The 15,452-nt window shown below is 54.7% G+C and overlaps 3 protein-coding genes across 33 annotated transcripts in view, besides 11 other annotated features; 2 read left to right on the forward strand and 1 right to left on the reverse strand.

Annotated features, from left to right (window-relative positions):
* Window positions 1-1,194, forward strand: part of MINK1 (misshapen like kinase 1) — a 64,722-nt gene extending 63,528 nt beyond the window's left edge. For all 28 annotated transcript variants that reach the window (NM_001321236.2, XM_006721531.2, XM_006721532.2 and 25 more), the window contains one exon: window positions 337-1,194. In NM_001321236.2, the coding sequence (NP_001308165.1) occupies window positions 337-420 (84 nt within the window). In that variant the 3' untranslated portion in view covers window positions 421-1,194. The remainder of the gene's footprint in view (window positions 1-336) is intronic.
* Window positions 904-11,810, reverse strand: CHRNE (cholinergic receptor nicotinic epsilon subunit). Of its 2 annotated transcripts, XM_017024115.2 has the most exons (13): window positions 11,452-11,810; window positions 8,077-8,152; window positions 5,754-5,896; window positions 5,583-5,627; window positions 5,350-5,459; window positions 5,065-5,220; window positions 4,658-4,758; window positions 4,123-4,323; window positions 3,926-4,040; window positions 2,601-2,715; window positions 2,331-2,517; window positions 2,134-2,240; window positions 904-2,024 (listed from the first exon to the last, which is right to left on the reverse strand). In XM_017024115.2, exons 2-13 carry the CDS (start codon window positions 8,084-8,086, stop codon window positions 1,869-1,871), a joined length of 1,446 nt encoding a protein of 481 aa, XP_016879604.1. In that variant the 5' UTR covers window positions 8,087-8,152; window positions 11,452-11,810; the 3' UTR covers window positions 904-1,868. The 2 variants fall into 2 exon arrangements, with proteins under 2 accessions (XP_016879604.1, NP_000071.1); NM_000080.4 differs by lacking the exons at window positions 8,077-8,152; window positions 11,452-11,810 and adding an exon at window positions 6,151-6,231.
* Window positions 2,266-2,415: a silencer, noted in NCBI's record as "silent region_8049". NCBI's record gives its function as "represses an Ori minimal core promoter by ATAC-STARR-seq in GM12878 lymphoblastoid cells {active_cell/tissue: GM12878}" and the evidence as "EXISTENCE:reporter gene assay evidence [ECO:0000049][PMID:35858748]".
* Window positions 2,436-2,545: a silencer, noted in NCBI's record as "silent region_8050". NCBI's record gives its function as "represses an Ori minimal core promoter by ATAC-STARR-seq in GM12878 lymphoblastoid cells {active_cell/tissue: GM12878}" and the evidence as "EXISTENCE:reporter gene assay evidence [ECO:0000049][PMID:35858748]".
* C17orf107 (chromosome 17 open reading frame 107) lies at window positions 2,669-9,848 on the forward strand. Of its 3 annotated transcripts, none has more exons than XR_007065253.1 (4): window positions 2,669-2,961; window positions 3,069-3,278; window positions 3,370-5,254; window positions 8,044-9,848. XR_007065253.1 is itself a non-coding variant. In NM_001145536.2 (3 exons), exons 1-3 carry the CDS (start codon window positions 2,896-2,898, stop codon window positions 3,664-3,666), a joined length of 573 nt encoding a protein of 190 aa, NP_001139008.1. In that variant the 5' UTR covers window positions 2,669-2,895; the 3' UTR covers window positions 3,667-6,067. The 3 variants fall into 3 exon arrangements, 1 of the variants encoding a protein (NP_001139008.1); XR_007065254.1 differs by having other exon boundaries at window positions 8,137-9,848; NM_001145536.2 differs by lacking the exon at window positions 8,044-9,848 and having other exon boundaries at window positions 3,370-6,067.
* Window positions 2,746-3,055: an enhancer, noted in NCBI's record as "active region_11551". NCBI's record gives its function as "activates an Ori minimal core promoter by ATAC-STARR-seq in GM12878 lymphoblastoid cells {active_cell/tissue: GM12878}" and the evidence as "EXISTENCE:reporter gene assay evidence [ECO:0000049][PMID:35858748]".
* Window positions 4,943-5,584: an enhancer, noted in NCBI's record as "H3K27ac-H3K4me1 hESC enhancer chr17:4805105-4805746 (GRCh37/hg19 assembly coordinates)". NCBI's record gives its function as "activates a minimal SCP1, AML or CMV promoter by ChIP-STARR-seq in primed H9 embryonic stem cells {active_cell/tissue: H9 hESC(primed)}" and the evidence as "EXISTENCE:reporter gene assay evidence [ECO:0000049][PMID:30033119]".
* Window positions 5,585-6,226: an enhancer, noted in NCBI's record as "H3K27ac-H3K4me1 hESC enhancer chr17:4805747-4806388 (GRCh37/hg19 assembly coordinates)". NCBI's record gives its function as "activates a minimal SCP1, AML or CMV promoter by ChIP-STARR-seq in primed H9 embryonic stem cells {active_cell/tissue: H9 hESC(primed)}" and the evidence as "EXISTENCE:reporter gene assay evidence [ECO:0000049][PMID:30033119]".
* Window positions 6,416-6,635: an enhancer, noted in NCBI's record as "active region_11552". NCBI's record gives its function as "activates an Ori minimal core promoter by ATAC-STARR-seq in GM12878 lymphoblastoid cells {active_cell/tissue: GM12878}" and the evidence as "EXISTENCE:reporter gene assay evidence [ECO:0000049][PMID:35858748]".
* Window positions 6,767-7,061: a silencer, noted in NCBI's record as "tiled region #10924; HepG2 Repressive DNase matched - State 8:EnhW". NCBI's record gives its function as "represses a minimal TATA promoter and a strong SV40 promoter by Sharpr-MPRA in HepG2 cells {active_cell/tissue: HepG2}" and the evidence as "EXISTENCE:reporter gene assay evidence [ECO:0000049][PMID:27701403]".
* Window positions 10,982-11,808: an enhancer, noted in NCBI's record as "H3K27ac-H3K4me1 hESC enhancer chr17:4811144-4811970 (GRCh37/hg19 assembly coordinates)". NCBI's record gives its function as "activates a minimal SCP1, AML or CMV promoter by ChIP-STARR-seq in naive H9 embryonic stem cells {active_cell/tissue: H9 hESC(naive)}" and the evidence as "EXISTENCE:reporter gene assay evidence [ECO:0000049][PMID:30033119]".
* Window positions 11,809-12,634: an enhancer, noted in NCBI's record as "H3K27ac-H3K4me1 hESC enhancer chr17:4811971-4812796 (GRCh37/hg19 assembly coordinates)". NCBI's record gives its function as "activates a minimal SCP1, AML or CMV promoter by ChIP-STARR-seq in naive H9 embryonic stem cells {active_cell/tissue: H9 hESC(naive)}" and the evidence as "EXISTENCE:reporter gene assay evidence [ECO:0000049][PMID:30033119]".
* Window positions 12,248-12,417: an enhancer, noted in NCBI's record as "active region_11553". NCBI's record gives its function as "activates an Ori minimal core promoter by ATAC-STARR-seq in GM12878 lymphoblastoid cells {active_cell/tissue: GM12878}" and the evidence as "EXISTENCE:reporter gene assay evidence [ECO:0000049][PMID:35858748]".
* Window positions 12,635-13,461: an enhancer, noted in NCBI's record as "H3K27ac-H3K4me1 hESC enhancer chr17:4812797-4813623 (GRCh37/hg19 assembly coordinates)". NCBI's record gives its function as "activates a minimal SCP1, AML or CMV promoter by ChIP-STARR-seq in naive H9 embryonic stem cells {active_cell/tissue: H9 hESC(naive)}" and the evidence as "EXISTENCE:reporter gene assay evidence [ECO:0000049][PMID:30033119]".

The raw sequence follows: 15,452 nt of genomic DNA on the forward strand, positions 1-15,452 counted from the left end.
GCCCCTGGGCAGAGTTCTGGGGAGAGGATGGTGGTGGTGGCTTCCTGAAAGCGGGCCCCTCTGGGAGCTCAGAGGGCAGTCAGCCACTACCACTGCCCTGCGCTCCCTTCAGATTCCGAGGACTTCCCAGCTGGCCCCCAGGGGGCGAGTGGTGCACCCTCTCCCCTAACATCCCAGCCTGCCTTTCCTCCGGGTGAGGGGCACTGTGAGTCTCCTCCTGCAGTCTCTGTGTCTCCCTCAACTCTTCTGCCACCCCTTCTTCCCTTCTTTCCCTCTCCCAGTTGAGACACCCCCCCAACCTCAGCCCTTGGTGACTTCTTCTCCTGCCCCACCCAGGTGTTTTTTGCCTCAGTCCGCTCTGGGGGCAGCAGCCAAGTTTACTTCATGACTCTGAACCGTAACTGCATCATGAACTGGTGACGGGGCCCTGGGCTGGGGCTGTCCCACACTGGACCCAGCTCTCCCCCTGCAGCCAGGCTTCCCGGGCCGCCCCTCTTTCCCCTCCCTGGGCTTTTGCTTTTACTGGTTTGATTTCACTGGAGCCTGCTGGGAACGTGACCTCTGACCCCTGATGCTTTCGTGATCACGTGACCATCCTCTTCCCCAACATGTCCTCTTCCCAAAACTGTGCCTGTCCCCAGCTTCTGGGGAGGGACACAGCTTCCCCTTCCCAGGAATTGAGTGGGCCTAGCCCCTCCCCCCTTTTCTCCATTTGAGAGGAGAGTGCTTGGGGCTTGAACCCCTTACCCCACTGCTGCTGACTGGGCAGGGCCCTGGACCCCTTTATTTGCACGTCAGGGGAGCCGGCTCCCCCCTTGAATGTACCAGACCCTGGGGGGGGTCACTGGGCCCTAGATTTTTGGGGGGTCACCAGCCACTCCAGGGGCAGGGACCATTTCTTCATTTTCTGAAAGCACTTTAATGATTCCCCTTCCCCCAAACTCCAGGGAATGGAGGGGGGACCCCGCCAGCCAAAACATTCCCCCCATTCCCGACCCCCCTCTCCTCTTCTAGCCCATGCCCTTCCCCGGTGGAGGGAGGGAGCAGGGAGCCCTCACTCTCCACGCCCCTTGCTTGCATCTGTATATAGTGTGAGCAGCAAGTAACCCTTCTCCCTCCCCCCCCACCCCTCCTCAATGTAGTGGCCTTGGATATCCTGTTTGTTAATAAAGACAATTCAACCAGCTCCCACCATGCAGGCCGCATGTCCTTGCTTTCTGTCAGTACTGTAGACTAGGCAGAGAGAGCCTCCAGGGTGGGGAAGAAAGGGGCAGGGTGGGCTGGGATCTGCAATGAGTGAGCCTCATGGGGTGGGATGGGCAGTGCTGGGCCAAGAAAACCTAGAAGAAATGACTGTGGAAGGGTCAGGGCAGCCTCAGCCTTAAACCTGTGGGCCTGAGGGCCACCAGCACTGAAGGTGTTTGGTTCCCACCCGCTCCAGCAGAGCCAGACCAGGGAAGAAGAGGGTTTCCTGGCTACAGCCTCCCTGTGTGCAAGTCCTGCAAAGGGGTCTCCTGTTTGGCTATGAAATGAATATAGATAGATAGCTCACAAGCTGGCAGCCACCAGAGTCCCGTGGGGCTGAGCCTTAGAAAGGCTGGGAGGTCAGCAAGGCTGAATGAAGGGCAGTCCTTGCTTTCTGGAAGACTGGCACCTGAGAGCCTATGTGAACCCTTTCCTCCTGCTGACCCCTGGACTGCGGCCAGGCCTACACACGCCAGGGAACGGGCACACACCATTCTTGTGAAGTTCACAAACTGCAGATTGATCAGCAGGGGGAAGGGATCATAATGCCGTGGTGGCGGCAGCCTACTTTTTCAAAATCAATTTCCTACTGGAGATGGGTGGGAAATTGAAGTCGGTGCGAGCTAAGGCTGGATACACGGCGCGTAGGGGAGATCAGGCACTCGGTTGAAGTAGGCCCCGAGGAAGATGAGGCTGGAGCCCACGCTGAAGAGCACCAGAGCGGCCCAGAAGCAGATGTTGTCAAGGGCATTCCCCATGCGCACCCAGTCGGACACTTCCTGGGGAAGGGTCGGCACAGTCAGTAAAGAGGCAGCTGCAGGAGCCAGCGGCATGGGAGACAGTGGTGGGCCTCTGCCTCGCTCCACCCGCCTCTGGCTCCTGTCCCACCTCGCCGGTGGCCTCCTGATCTCTCGTGCTCTCGGCCACGAAGTTCACGGCATCCACACAGCAGCGGACCTCGGGGGCGGCGGCGCCCAGGCTCTGGCAGAAGGCAGCTGGCGGGGAAAACACCGGGGTGGGCCTTAGGAGCCTCCCCCCTGGCAGGCACCCCGCGCGGCCCCCCGGGCCAGGGCCACTGTGCTCACCCGTCCAGGTCCCCTGCCGGTGCCTCTGCCCCTCAAACACGAGCTCGCTCCGTGGCTTTTTCAGTATCAGCTCCTCCGCGCGGAGCAATAAGCCCACCGACGACGCCCGCCTTGGGGGCGAGGCGGCCCGGGGGGCCTCGGGCGGCGGCGGGGAGCCCAGGAGGCGCGGCAGCAGCTCCAGGAGAACCTGGGGCAGGGGCGGGGCTTAGGGGACGAGGTTAGTACGAAGCCCCACCCCGACCCGGGCTGCACCGCCCCCTCCGCGCTTACGTGGCGCAGCCGCGGGGACATGGCGTGGGTGGTGGGCGTCCGCTGGGACACGTTGAGCACGATGACGCAATTCATGACAATGAGCGTGGCGACCACCATGACGAAAATAAGGAACCTGAGGAGCCCGGAAGGCATGACATCACCGTTCCTCCTCCCAGCTACCGAAGGCGCCGCGCGCTGACCTCACAAACACGGCTTCTCCTGGTACGGGCTGGTTACGCCCTCCAGCTGCGCCCCCTACACGACGACAGACGCGTCCCCCAGCCCTTCTCCTGTCCTACCACTTGTGGCGGCCATGAAGGGGACCCCCAGCTCCCTGGACACCCTGATGTGGATCTACCACTTCCACAGCTCCACCGAGGTGAGGCTACGCCCGCCAAGGGCTGCACCTCGAGACCTTCTGGGTAGGTCTCCTGTTCGCCCCTGTGACCCCTGCCCTGCTACTCTACTGCTCTGCTCCTTCTCCAGGTGGCCCTCCAGCCCCCGCTTCTGTCTTCCCTGGAACTCTCCGTGGCCGCAGCCCATGAATATCTGGAGCAGAGGTTCAGAGAGCTGAAGTCCCTGGAGCCACCCGAACCGAAGATGCAGGGGATGCTGCCTGCCCCGAAGCCCACCCTGGGGCTGGTGTTGAGAGAAGCCACAGCCAGCCTCGTGAGCTTCGGCACCACCTTGTTAGAGGTGGGGTACTGGGGGGCTTAGGATACGCGGCGATCGGGTAGCGGGAACAAGGACCTCTGCCTCCCCGCTAACCCCTGTGCCCCCAATGCAGATCTCAGCCCTGTGGCTGCAGCAGGAGGCGCGGCGACTAGACGGCAGCGCGGGCCCAGCCCCAGACGGCAGGGATCCGGGTGCAGCGCTGAGCCGGGTAGCCCAAGCCGCAGGGCAGGGGGTTCGGCAAGCTGGGGCTGCGGTGGGCGCCAGCGCCCGGCTCCTAGTCCAGGGAGCATGGCTATGCCTGTGTGGACGGGGTCTGCAGGGGTCTGCCTCATTCCTGCGACAGTCGCAACAGCAGCTAGGCCTCGGAATCCCCGGAGAACCGGTGAGCTCAGGACACGGGGTGAGTTAGGGGCCAGAGGCGGCGGGGCTAGGGAGGCACTGAGCCGGACTGTCCCCCAAGAGAGCTACTCGGGAGACCTCCAGGTGACGTCCAGCAGCAGTGAGGAGGACGGCGGACCAGGGACTCCATCCCCGTACCAGCCCCACCCAGCGTCCGAATAAAGCCCAGGGCGGGGCGAGACAGCCAGAGCTTTTCCCGGGGTCTCTGGGTTTTGGCCACGCCCCCACCCTTCACACTGGCCACACCCCCGCGGGGGCTCCGGCTTCACCTGCCCAGGAGCGGCACGCTCAGAGAAGTCTCTGGGATTTTCTGGGCAATGAGGAACAAGAAGACGGTCTGGGCGAGCAGGACGTTGATGGAGACCGTGCATTTCTGGCCGCCGGCTGGAGGGAGAGCCAGTGAGAGCGGGCCCCGCCTCCCGGGAGCGAGCCCGGGTTTGGGGGTAGGTTCGGGGCCACTGCTTACCCTGCGCCGGCAGGAAGTAGGCGAGCAGCACCAGGCCCGAGATGAGCACACAGGGCACGATGATGTTAATGACGTAGAAGAGCGGCTTCCGGCGGATGATGAGCGAGTAGATGACGTCAGTCTCCCCTGGGCCGTCGGTGGCGCCACCGTGGTGGCGGCGGATCACCCCCGGGCAGAAGTCGATGGCCCACTCGCCGTTCTCTGCGGGACGGGGGCACGGTCAGCTGGCTGTCAGAGCGGGGCGCCCGCCGAGCTGACAGCGGGCTGAAGAGGAGGCTGCGGCTGTCTGCACCAGGGTCATGGGCCGTCAGGATGGGGGCAATTACGGACAGAAAAGGGCATTCTCGTTGAGGGTATGGAAAGCCAGAAGGCAGGACTAGAGTAACAATCGAGAATGATTTCAGGACAGGGGTAAGCTAAACCCAGTTGTGGAAGTCATCCTCCAGTGTCGTTGGTCCGGGGCAAGCCCACCGTGGAAGTCCCCTCTCTGGACCCCGTCTAGAAGCGGGTTTTTCTGAGCAGGCAGGGGCTTCACCAGTATAGGCCTCTGTGTCGATGTCGATCTTGTTGATGGTCTTGCCGTCGTTGTCTACGGCAAAAGTGAACTCCACCTCTTCGGCATTGTACGTCTGAGAGCTGCGGAGCCAGGGCCGGGAGCCCACCCCAGAAGCTCTGACCTGGGCCCCGGCCTCAGGCCCAGCCCTGGAAGCTGGGATCTAGCGGGGCCGCGATCCCAAGCCCACCCCTTCACCCAAGCCCAGCCCGCACGCCTCTGTTCCCATCTGTACCTCCGGCCGCGCTGGAGCGTCCCACCCAGTGCCTACGCCTGGCTCCGCCTCCAGCGCGAAGCCCCGCCCCGAGGGCGGTGCTTCCCGGTTGGCCCCGCCCCATAAGGCCCCCCCCCAACAATAATCGTCCGGGCCTCGGAGTAGCTCTTCCCACCGGAAAATAAGCGAACAGTTCTGCCAATCGAAGGGGAAGTAGGTGACCTCCACTGCGCAGACGCTGCGGTAGATGGCCGGAGGCAGCCACGTCACGGAGCCGCCCTCGTAGACGAGCACGTTGGCGTCGTAGGCCACTCCGAACTGGCCATCAATACTGTGGGCTCGGGGAAACCGAGCTTTTTGCACAGGTCTGCACCCTCTCAGAGTACCCCCTTCCCCAACCAAGTCCAGCCCGCACCCCAGGCCGGCTTCCCTCCAGCCTGGCGTCTGGCCCGGTTCTCACTTGTTTTCCAGCACAATCTCTGGCAGCCACACGAGTTCTGAAGGGACTCGCAGGGTTTCTATACCCCCAAAGTCGTCCTTGCTGTAGTTGAGTCGGTAATCCTGCCAATCCTAAGGGGTGGGGGATGGAAGGCCGCGTGCCCTGCATCTCCCACCTGGCGCTGCCTGGGAGGGGTTTGGGGGAAAAGGGGTGCCCTGGACAAGACCTCACACCATTCCCCAGATTTGACTCACGATTCCAATCCAGACGCTAGTGGTGAGAGTCTCCTCTTTTTCATTCTGCAGATGGGAGATGGGGATGATTGAAGTGAGATTTCAGGGCCAGAAGTGAGCTTTAGGACAGAGCTCAGCGGTTGGGGCCAGAAGTGGGATTTTTGGCTTAAGATGAGGGTGGGGGTAGCTTACCAGTGAGATGAGATTCGTCAGGGTGACCTTGAGGCTGATGGTGACAGTATCCTCAGGCTCCCGCACTGGCCGGCTTCCTGGGTCATAGTTGTTGAAGAGATGGTGATAAAGACGCAGTTCCTCGTTCTTCCCCACACCCCTGCCTGCGATGGGGTCAAGAAGGAAGGGTCATTGGCAATGAAGAGGCTGGAGCACCTCTCTCCCCTCTGCCTCCCCTGGGTCCTCACAGGCCTCTGAGGCTGTGTACTATCAGTATCTGTCTCCTAAACCAATTATGCTGTGCCTGGGAACGAAATACTGTGTCTAAGTCTCCATCTTGGTCTCTGTCTTTGTCTTCCCAGTCCCTTCATGTCAGTATCTGTGTGTGTCCAATTGCCCCTCTAGCCCCTGTCCGTACCGAGAAGCCCCAAGAGGAGCAGGACCCCAAGCGGAGCCCTTGCCATCCTGCTGCGTGGTTCTCAGGGTTATTCTGAGCTCTGGCAGGCTTGGAGGGGGCATGCCAGGGTGCCTGTGTGAGGGGGAGGAGGGTGTTAGTTCCGGGCTGTTAGGGGACTGTCACCTAATCCTCTGCTCACCCCTGCTGCAGCTGGGGACATTTTGGCTGCTTCCAGAGGCAGCTGCCCCATCCTGTGTTTCCTGCCCCTGCCCCGCCCCAGCCCAGCGTCCTTTGCCTGGTATTTGGCCAACTCCCCAGCCACAGATGTGGGCGTCTCCTGAGAGGCACCTGCAACCACAATTCTAGTAGCAGGGGGTGGGAGACACTGCTTTCAGCAGGCACTGTTGTCCTTTGAGTAAGCTGCCCTGTGTAGGTGACCCTGACTGATGAACACATCTGGGGATGTGACACACCCCTTGCCTCCCATTCTCACCCATGTGGAACACACACTATCACCACCCAAGCTCACAATGCCTTTCTTGCCGACAGAGTGGCAAAAAACAGTCTCCATAAAGACCTGATAAAGAGACAGGTGGTCACAGGGGATTAGCCCTGCGGTACAGAGATTCCATCTAGCAAAGGAGATCATGTAAAGGACCCACCTCCTTCCACAACCTGATCGCCAGGTTTGCCCATGCCCAGCCCCTCTGGGTGGGAGACTTGTTTCTCCTTGTCTATCCCTGCTGCCACCTTGTGGTCACAGATGATAGTACCGTCTTCCCATCCTACTCTCCTAAACACACACGTGCACACATACACACACACCTGATGACACCTTAATAGATCCTTTTGATGTTCCTTTTTAAAAAAAATTTTTTTGAGACCAAGTCTCGCTCTGGCGCCCAGACTGGAGTGCAGTGGCATGATCTCGGCTCACTGCAACCTCCGCCTCCCGGGTTCAAGCGATTCTCCTGCCTCAACCTCTGGAGTAGCTGGGACTACAGGCGCATGCCACCATGCCCGGCTAATTTTTGTATTTTTTAGTAGAGATGGGGTTTCACCATGTTAGCCAGGATGGTCTCGATCTCCTGACCTCGTGAGCCACCTACCTGGGCCTCCCAAAGTGCTGGGATTATAGGCGTGAGCCACCGCGCCCAGCCTCGATGTTTTTTGTTTTTCTGTTTCTTTTTTTGTTTTTTGTTTTTTGCAGGGGGTGGGGGGACAGGATCTCACTCTGTCACCCAGACAGGAGTACAGTGGCACCACCATAGTTCACTGCGGCTCTCAAACTCCTGGGCTAAAGCGATCCTCCTGCCTCAGCTTCCCAAAGGGTTAGGATTACAGGTGTGAGCCACCACGCCCGGCCTCAGTGTTTTTTAAAGCCTTCTTGAACCATTCTAATCACCTGGAGGGGTGCTTATTTTAAATTCAGATTCCTAGGCTCCATTCCCAGAGAATTATGATTTCGGGACTAGGGTGCCAGGAATCTGTATTTTTAGGAAACTGTCCAGGTGTTCCTCGTGAGGTAGGAGGGGCTGGCCTAAGCATATTTTCTGCTTACATCTCATTTCCTCACAGCAGTCCAGCAAAGCAATGATCACTGTCCTGAATACATGAAAGGGGATGCTAAGGTCGGGATCCAGGGTCACACAAGTAGATTGGCAATAATGCATGAGACTTATCAATCAACTCTATTGATCTCGCACACCTGTGTTTATTTTACCCTTCACAAAACACTTTCGGGTCCATCACCTTTGGGTCTCCTTCCCCCACCTATGAGGTAGGTCATAATCACCTCCATGTTACAAGCGAGGACACATCAAATAACAGAGTGTCCTCCTAGTCCATTTCCCACACTTGTGTAAAGCCTCTGTTTCCACTGCTGCCTTATCAACCCCACGATTTCCATTTCAGACTCCCTTTCTGGGTCTCTTTGACCCAGCTTACCTCTTTGCATGTGGCTGGTACATGGACTAAGTCTCAAATCTGTGCTGCTGCTTATTCCAGAGCTTCCGCGTCAAGGCTTGGGACAAGAATTGTGATAAATGCAAATATTTATTCAAACATCAGTGGACACCTACAAAGTTCCCCCTTACAGGGCCGAGTGCTACGGTTATTGAGATGGATAAAACAAGCCTCAAGGAGTTATCATCTAATGACAGAGACCTATCAACAGCCAGTGATGCCAGACTATGAGAAGCATAAAAATAAACAGGTGCTATAGAATCTGTAGCTAGGGTGAATCAGATCTGTCAGAAAAGCAAGGTTTTGGCCAGGCACAGTGGCTCATGCCTGTAATCCTAACTATTTGGGAGGCTGAGGCTGGAGCATCACTTGAGCCCAGGAGTTCAAGACCAGCCTGGGCAACACAGTGAGACCCCCCATCTCTACAAAAATAAATAAACAACAACAAAAAATATTAGCCAGGCATCATGGTGCATGCCTGTAGTCCCAGCTACTTAGGAGGCTGAGGCGGGAGGATTGCTTGACCCTAAGAGATCAAGGACACAGTGAGCTACGATCACACTACACTCCAGCCTGGGTGACAAGCGAGACCCTATCTCAAAAAAATGAAGTTTCCGGCTGGATGCGGTGGCTCAACACCTGTAATCCCAGCACTTTGGGAGGCCAAGGCAGGTGGACCACCTGAGGTCAAGAGTTCGAGACCAGTCTGGCCAACATGGTGAAACCCCATCTCTACTAAAAACACAAAAATTAGCTGGGTGTGGTGGCTGGCACCTGTAATCCCAGCTACTCGGGAGGCTGAGGCAGGAGAATCACTTGAACCTGGGAGACGGAGGTTGCAGTGAGCCGAGATCGTGCCACTGCACTCCAGCCCGGGTGACAGAGTGAGACTCCATCTCAAAAAACAAAAAAATGAAGTTTCTCCTAGGTTTCCTGTAGTCTTGCACATGGACTGGAACTTACTAGACCAGTGTCAGAGGCCAAGGCAGCTCCAGAGCCTGTCTCCTGATCTGTCTCTGCCGCTCTGTCCGCTCTCTGCTCCTCTCACTTCGTCAGCACTGCCCATTCCCCCTACTTTGCATGTCCCCTTTCTACTGTGTAGTTTCTGCTTTCTCGTCACCTGTGCATCATTTCACCATGGTCTTAGCCCCAGACCAACTTCTTGGCTTCTCTCTGCAGAGGCAGCACTTTTGTTCCCGTTGCTACTGCCTGATGCTCTGAGGGCTTGGGGTGCCAACACTGAAGAAGGATCATGGGGTTGGCCTAAGACTGCCTTGTTTAGGATGGATAGTGGGTGTGGCAGGCCCTGACACCACATGTCTGGTAATTCACCCTCTAGCAACCCAGCCCACTTCTCCTATATGTTTAGCTCCCAAAACGGCCTGCCAGGATGCCATTCTCACTGCTAGAGCTGAAATATATACAAATATATGAAATATACATAAATTAATACAGTTAATATAAATTCACTCTATCCTCCCCAGCAGGATTCAAACTTGAAATCTTGCTTCAAAAAGTGATTATGAGAAAAAAAATCTAATAATCTGATCAAAAAGAGGGCAGAAGATTTGAATAGACGCTTCTCAAAATAAGACACACAAATGCCAAACAGGTATAAGAAAACGTGCTCAGCATCATTGGTCATCACTGGGAGGCTGAGGTAGGAGAATTGCTTGAGCCTGGGAGTTCAAGACCAGCCTGGGCAATATAGTGAGACCTCATCTGTAAATAAATAAATAAAATTTTAAAAAACAGATGAATGGTGAGCCAAGATCATGCCACTGCATCCTAGCCTGGGAAACAAGAGAGAAAACTGTTTAAAAAAAAAAGAAAAAAGAAAAACACAGATGAATGGATAAAGCAAATGTGGTACATATACACAATGGAGCACCATTCACCCATAAAAAAGGATGAGATCCTGTCATTTGCAACAACATGAATGGAACTGGAGATCATTATGTTAGGTGAAATAAGCCAGGCACAGAAAGACAATCATTGCATGTTCTCACTTATTTGTGGGAGTTAAAAATCAAAACAATTGACCTCATGGACATAGAGAGTAGAAGGATGGTTACCAGAGGCTGGGAAGGGTAGTGGGCAGGTAGGTGGATGGTGGGGATGGTTAATGGGTACAAAAAAAATAGAATAAGACCTACTATTTGATAGCACAACAGAGTGACTGTAGTCAATAATAATTTCATTGTACATGTTAAAAAAAACTTAAGAGTGTAATTGCATGGTTGGTAACTTAAAGGATAAATGATTGGGGGAATTAAAAAAAAAAGTGATTATGGCAAGGGTCCTTCAAGAAAACACTCCGGGCCGGGCGCGGGGGCTCACGCCTGTAATCCCTGCACTTCGGGAGGCCGAGGCGGGCGGATCACGAGGTCAGGAGATCAAGACCATCCTGGCTAGCATGGTGAAACCCCGTGTCTACTAAAAATTAAAAAAAAAAAATTAGCCGGGCATGGTGGCGGGCGCCTGTAGTCCCAGCTACTCGGGAGGCTGAGGCAGGAGAATGGCGTGAACCCGGGAGGCGGAGCTTGCAGTGAGCCAAGATCACGCCACTGCACTCCAGCCTGGTGACAGAGCAAGACTCAGTCTCAAAAAAAAAAAAAAAAAAAAAAAACACTCTCAGCCCAGAGTCCAGTGTCCCCTGCTCTAAGTAGTTTCACTCAGGTCTGATTTCCATCCATTCTCCAAATGATGGGCTAAATCCTCAACTTAAGCACCACAACTACATCATGTATAAACAATACATCACACACACACCCCACAACATAGAAAATGCAATAGTGGGCTGGGTGAGGTGGCTCGTGCCTGTAATCCCAGCACTTTGGGCAGCCAAGGCAGGTGGATCACTTGAGATCAGGAGTTCAAGACCAGCCTGACCCACATGGTGAAACCCTGTCTCTACTAAAAATAGAAAACTTAGTCGGGCACGGTGGCTCACACCAGTAATCCCAGCACTTTGGGAGGCCGAGGCGGGCGGATCACGAGGTCAGTAGTTTGGGACCAGCCTGATCAACATGGTGAAACCCCGTCTCTACTAAAGATACAAAAAATTAGCCAGGGGATTACACCTGTAATCCCAGCTACTCGGGAGGCTGAGGCAGGAGAATCCCCTTGAACCAGGCAGTCAGAGGTTGCGGTGAGCCTAGATCGTGCCATTGCACTCCAGCCTGGTGACAGAGTGAGACTCTGTCTCAAAATAATAATAATAATAAAATGCAATAGTTAACAAAACTACATTTGAGCCAACAACCTGCATAGGAGAGGTGCGGGTTACAGTGAGTAGAAATCCTCATTCCTGGAAGGCTGCAGTGGCCATGGGCCTCACACATAGACCGCATTCACCTGAGAGCCAGGGGCTGGAGCTGCAACTTGTGAGTGACCAGTGCATCCCAGGGGCTTGCCTTGCTCCTCATGCTGGAGGAGTTTCCGGAAGGGGCTCTTGCCACTTCCCACATCACAGCAGTGCGTTCCTGCCAGTGCTGGGAGCAAAGCTCAGCCACCGTTCCTGCCAGCGCTGGGAGCAACGCTCAGCCACCGTCTTTGTCTAGGTTTGGTTTGCTCACAGTGAGGACTGCCTCGGGGGCTGAGACTTCCTGCCGAGTTAGTGGAGTCAGGCACAGGCCTGCTAGCCAGGGCTGATGGTTCGTATTTTCATAATGAAAATTCCCCAGAACCTGAATGGGCTGCCTGACAATTCCCCTACACACACAGACACACAGACACACAGACACACACACACACACACACAGAGACACACACATACACAGATACACAGACACACACACAGACACACAGAGACACAGACACAAAGACACACACACACACAGACACAGACACACAAACACACACAGAAACACAGACACACACACAGCCACACACACAGCCACGGACACACACACACACACACATTCACAGACACACGCAGATACACACAGACACACGCAGACACAGACACATAGACACGCAAACACAGACACACACACACACCCAGACACACACACACACACCCAGACACACACACACACACACAGACCCAGATACACACATACACACAGACACAGGCATGGACCCACACACACACACAGACACACACACAGACACACACACCCCGGGATGCTTTGACTTCCAAGTAAGACCCAAAAGAACTAGCTCAACAGGAAGCCACTCCCGTCGCCTGCCGGCTTCTGGCTAGCAGCGCAGAACAGCTGCAGCTGACTCCAGCGGCCAGGCTGCCAGGCCGCGGCCTCTCTGCCTTCAGTGCCCTCACAGCACAAATATCCCCAGGCTGGCCAGAGGAGGGCCCCCTCTCCACTCCACACAAAGACCTGCTCTTGATTTGTGGACAGAAGTAGGTTCAGCTGAACCAGAGCAGGGAGGTGTAGTAGACCCGGATTTCTATTTTCTTTTTTTCGAGACGGAGTCTCCCTCTCTGGCCAGGCTGGAATGCAGTGGCGCAATCTCAGCTCACTGCAACCTCCCGCGTTCAAGCGATTACCCTGCCTCAGCCTCCCGAGTAGCTGGGACTACAGGCCGCACCACCACACCCAGCTAATTTTTGTATATTTAGTACAGACGGGGTTTCACCATGTTGGCCAGGCTGGTCTCGAACTCCTAACCTCAGGCGACCCACCCGCCTCGGCCTCCCAAAGTGCTGGAATTACAGGCACGAGCCCGTATGAGGGAAATACATGAAGTCACGGGTGCTTTATCTTCCAGCACCTTCCCTTCTTCTGAGAACTGTCCGTCTCCAATCCTGTGGGCCCAGAGGATCTGCCTGGAACGGAGACAGCCCACCCCTGGCCAGAGTGGACTGGTCTCAGGAGGACACCTGACCCAAGCCAGGCCAAAGAAAGTCCCTTCCCTGGGAATGTTCTCAAACAAAACACAGGAAAGCAGTCTGTCTCTGCTGCCACAAGCTATGAAACCTGGATGCATGGGCTGCCATGTTCATTCCTCGTTTTTTACGTGTGTAAGAGAGAATGCAGCTGAGACGCAGACGAGCAGAGACAAGAATGCGCCTCAGCGTTCCCGCCCCGCCCCAGGAATACCTGAGGCCCAGCAGAGCTGCTACAGGCTGGCTGCCCACAAGTCCTTTGATGGAATGAGGAAACTCAGCCTCTTTCCAATATATCTCCCTTTTCTTGGCTTAATATATGAGGATTTTCAGGGAGGGCAGGGTGGCTCACGCCTGTAATTCCAGCACTTTGGGAGGCCGAGGTGGGCGGATCACGAGGTCAGGAGATGGAGACCATCCTGGCTAACACAGTGAAACCCCGTCTCTACTAAAAATACAACAAATTAGCCGGACGTGGTGGCGGGCACCTGTAGTCCCAGCTACTCGGGAGGCTGAGGCAGGAGAATGGCGTGAACCCGGGAGGCGGAGCTTGCAGTGAGCCGAGATCACGCCACTGCACTCCAGCCTGGGCGACAGAGCGAGACTCTGTCTCAGGAAAAAAAAAAAAAAAAAATTAGTCCGGTTGGTGGCATGCACCTGTAGTCCCAGTTACTCAGGAGGCTGAAGTGGAAATGGGGGAGAATCAATTGAACCTGGGAGGCAGAAGTTGCAGTGAGTGGTGATCCTACCATTGCACCCTCCAGCCTGGGTGACAGAGTGAGACTCTGTCTCAAAAAACAAAAAAAAACAAAAAAAAAAAAACCAAAGAATTTTCAGGTCAGGGGTGGTGGTTCCAACCTGTAATCCCAGCACTTTGTGAGGTCAAGGTGGGAGGATTGCTTGAGGCCAGGAGTTCAAGACTAGCTTGGGCAACATGGCGAAACCCTATCTCTACAGAAATAAAAACAAAAAGAAAAAGAAAAGTAAAGCGTTCCACTTGAGGCCAGGTGCGGTGGTTTACGCCTGTAATCCCAGCACTTTAGGAGGCTGAGGCGGGCGGATCACCTGAGGTAGGGAGTTTGAGACCAGAAAAAAAAGAAAAAGAAAAAAAAACTGAAGCCAAGAAAGTCATAGACCAAACAAGAATTAATGAACTAATTAGTATCTCAGAGGAAAGAAGGCCTTCCTTCCTTTCCCTAGAGCCCAAATCAGAGACCATAAAGAAAAAGAAAAAATACATCAACTTCTGTAGGGCAAAAACTATGAAACGAAAGGCAAGCAAACAACAAACTGGGAGAAAATGTCTGTAACCAGTGACATCTCTGCTGTATTTATGAAGCCCTCACAGAAAGCCATGAAGAGCTGACAAAACCTGGGCACCGTGGGGAAACGGTGAGAAACCCCGGGAGAGAGGAAGATCTGGACTTGGAGGAGAACAGCACACCAGAGCAGAAGGGGGCTGGTGCCTAGGAAAGAGATGAACAAAAATGGTAAAAACTCCAAAGTGATTTCAAAGAGGGATAAAAATGTGGAGGGTGGGGGAGGGGGAGATGGAGAGAAAGAGGAGAGGGAGGCCACCAGGGCGGCCCCAGGGCCAGGGCTAAGCACTCACCCTCCCCAGGAGGCAATCTCTCCACAAACTTGGGTAAAGAAGAGAAAACAAAAGTCCTTGCAACTTACCAGTACAGGAAGGAGAGTCCATACCGTTCATCTTGTTAGAAAAGATCTCAGCCAGGCGCGGTGGCTCACGCCTGTAATCCCAGCACTTTGGGAGGTCGAGACGGGCGGGTCACCTGAGGTCAGGAATTCAAGACCAGCCTGGCCAACATGGAGAAACCCCATCTCTACTAAAAATACAAAATTAGCCGGGTGTGGTGGTGCGTGCCTGTAATCCCAGCTACTCAGGAGGCTGAGGCAGGAGAATTGCTTAAACCTGGGAGGTGGAGGTTGCAGCGATCCCAGATTGCGCCACTGCACTCCATCCTGGGCAACAGAGTGAGCCTCTGCTGCAATAAAAAAAATAAAACAAATAAAAAATAAAAACAGAAAAGAAAAGATCTCGAATCTGCTTCTCACTTCAGCGCAGAGGCAGAAGACGAGAATGAATCGAGAAGGAGAATCCCCATATCAGCAAAGAATGGATGCTGCGTTCACGGGCAGTTTCCACCACATTGTGGGCTTGCCTTCAGAAAGAGAGAAGGTGGTGGCAGAGATGATGCCGCTGCAGAAGCCAGAAGAGGGTCCAGCTGATGTTCAAAGTTCAGGAGGAAAGGATTCAATATCAGAGAAAAACTACTAAGAACTCCCAGTACCTAAACAGTTTGATGAGGTGGGAATCCCAAACAGAAAGGAGGCAAGAAGTAATTACAGCTGGGCACGGTAGCTCACACCTGTAATCCCAGCACTTTGGGAGGCCAAGGTGGGCGGATCACCTGGGGTCAGGAGTTCGAGACCAGCCTGGGCAACATGGTGAAACCCCATCTCTACTAAAAATACAAAAATTAGCTGG

The sequence above is a fragment of the Homo sapiens genome, chromosome 17 (genome assembly GCF_000001405.40).
Source record: "Homo sapiens chromosome 17, GRCh38.p14 Primary Assembly".
Classification (NCBI taxonomy): Eukaryota; Metazoa; Chordata; class Mammalia; order Primates; family Hominidae; genus Homo; species Homo sapiens.

Excerpts from the sequence above, each read along its gene's own strand:
- C17orf107 (NM_001145536.2), top strand. The coding sequence starts at position 2,896 with ATGAAGGGGACCCCCAGCTCCCTGGACACCCTGATGTGGATCTACCAC. Across the intron at positions 2,962-3,068 it reads ACTTCCACAGCTCCACCGAG|GTGGCCCTCCAGCCCCCGCT; the intron begins GTGAGGCTACGC and ends CTCCTTCTCCAG. Across the intron at positions 3,279-3,369 it reads TCGGCACCACCTTGTTAGAG|ATCTCAGCCCTGTGGCTGCA; the intron begins GTGGGGTACTGG and ends CCCCCAATGCAG.
- CHRNE (NM_000080.4), bottom strand. The coding sequence starts at position 6,196 with ATGGCAAGGGCTCCGCTTGGGGTCCTGCTCCTCTTGGGGCTTCTCG. Across the intron at positions 5,628-5,753 it reads TGACGAATCTCATCTCACTG|AATGAAAAAGAGGAGACTCT; the intron begins GTAAGCTACCCC and ends TCCCATCTGCAG. Across the intron at positions 4,041-4,122 it reads CTACTTCCTGCCGGCGCAGG|CCGGCGGCCAGAAATGCACG; the intron begins GTAAGCAGTGGC and ends CTCTCCCTCCAG.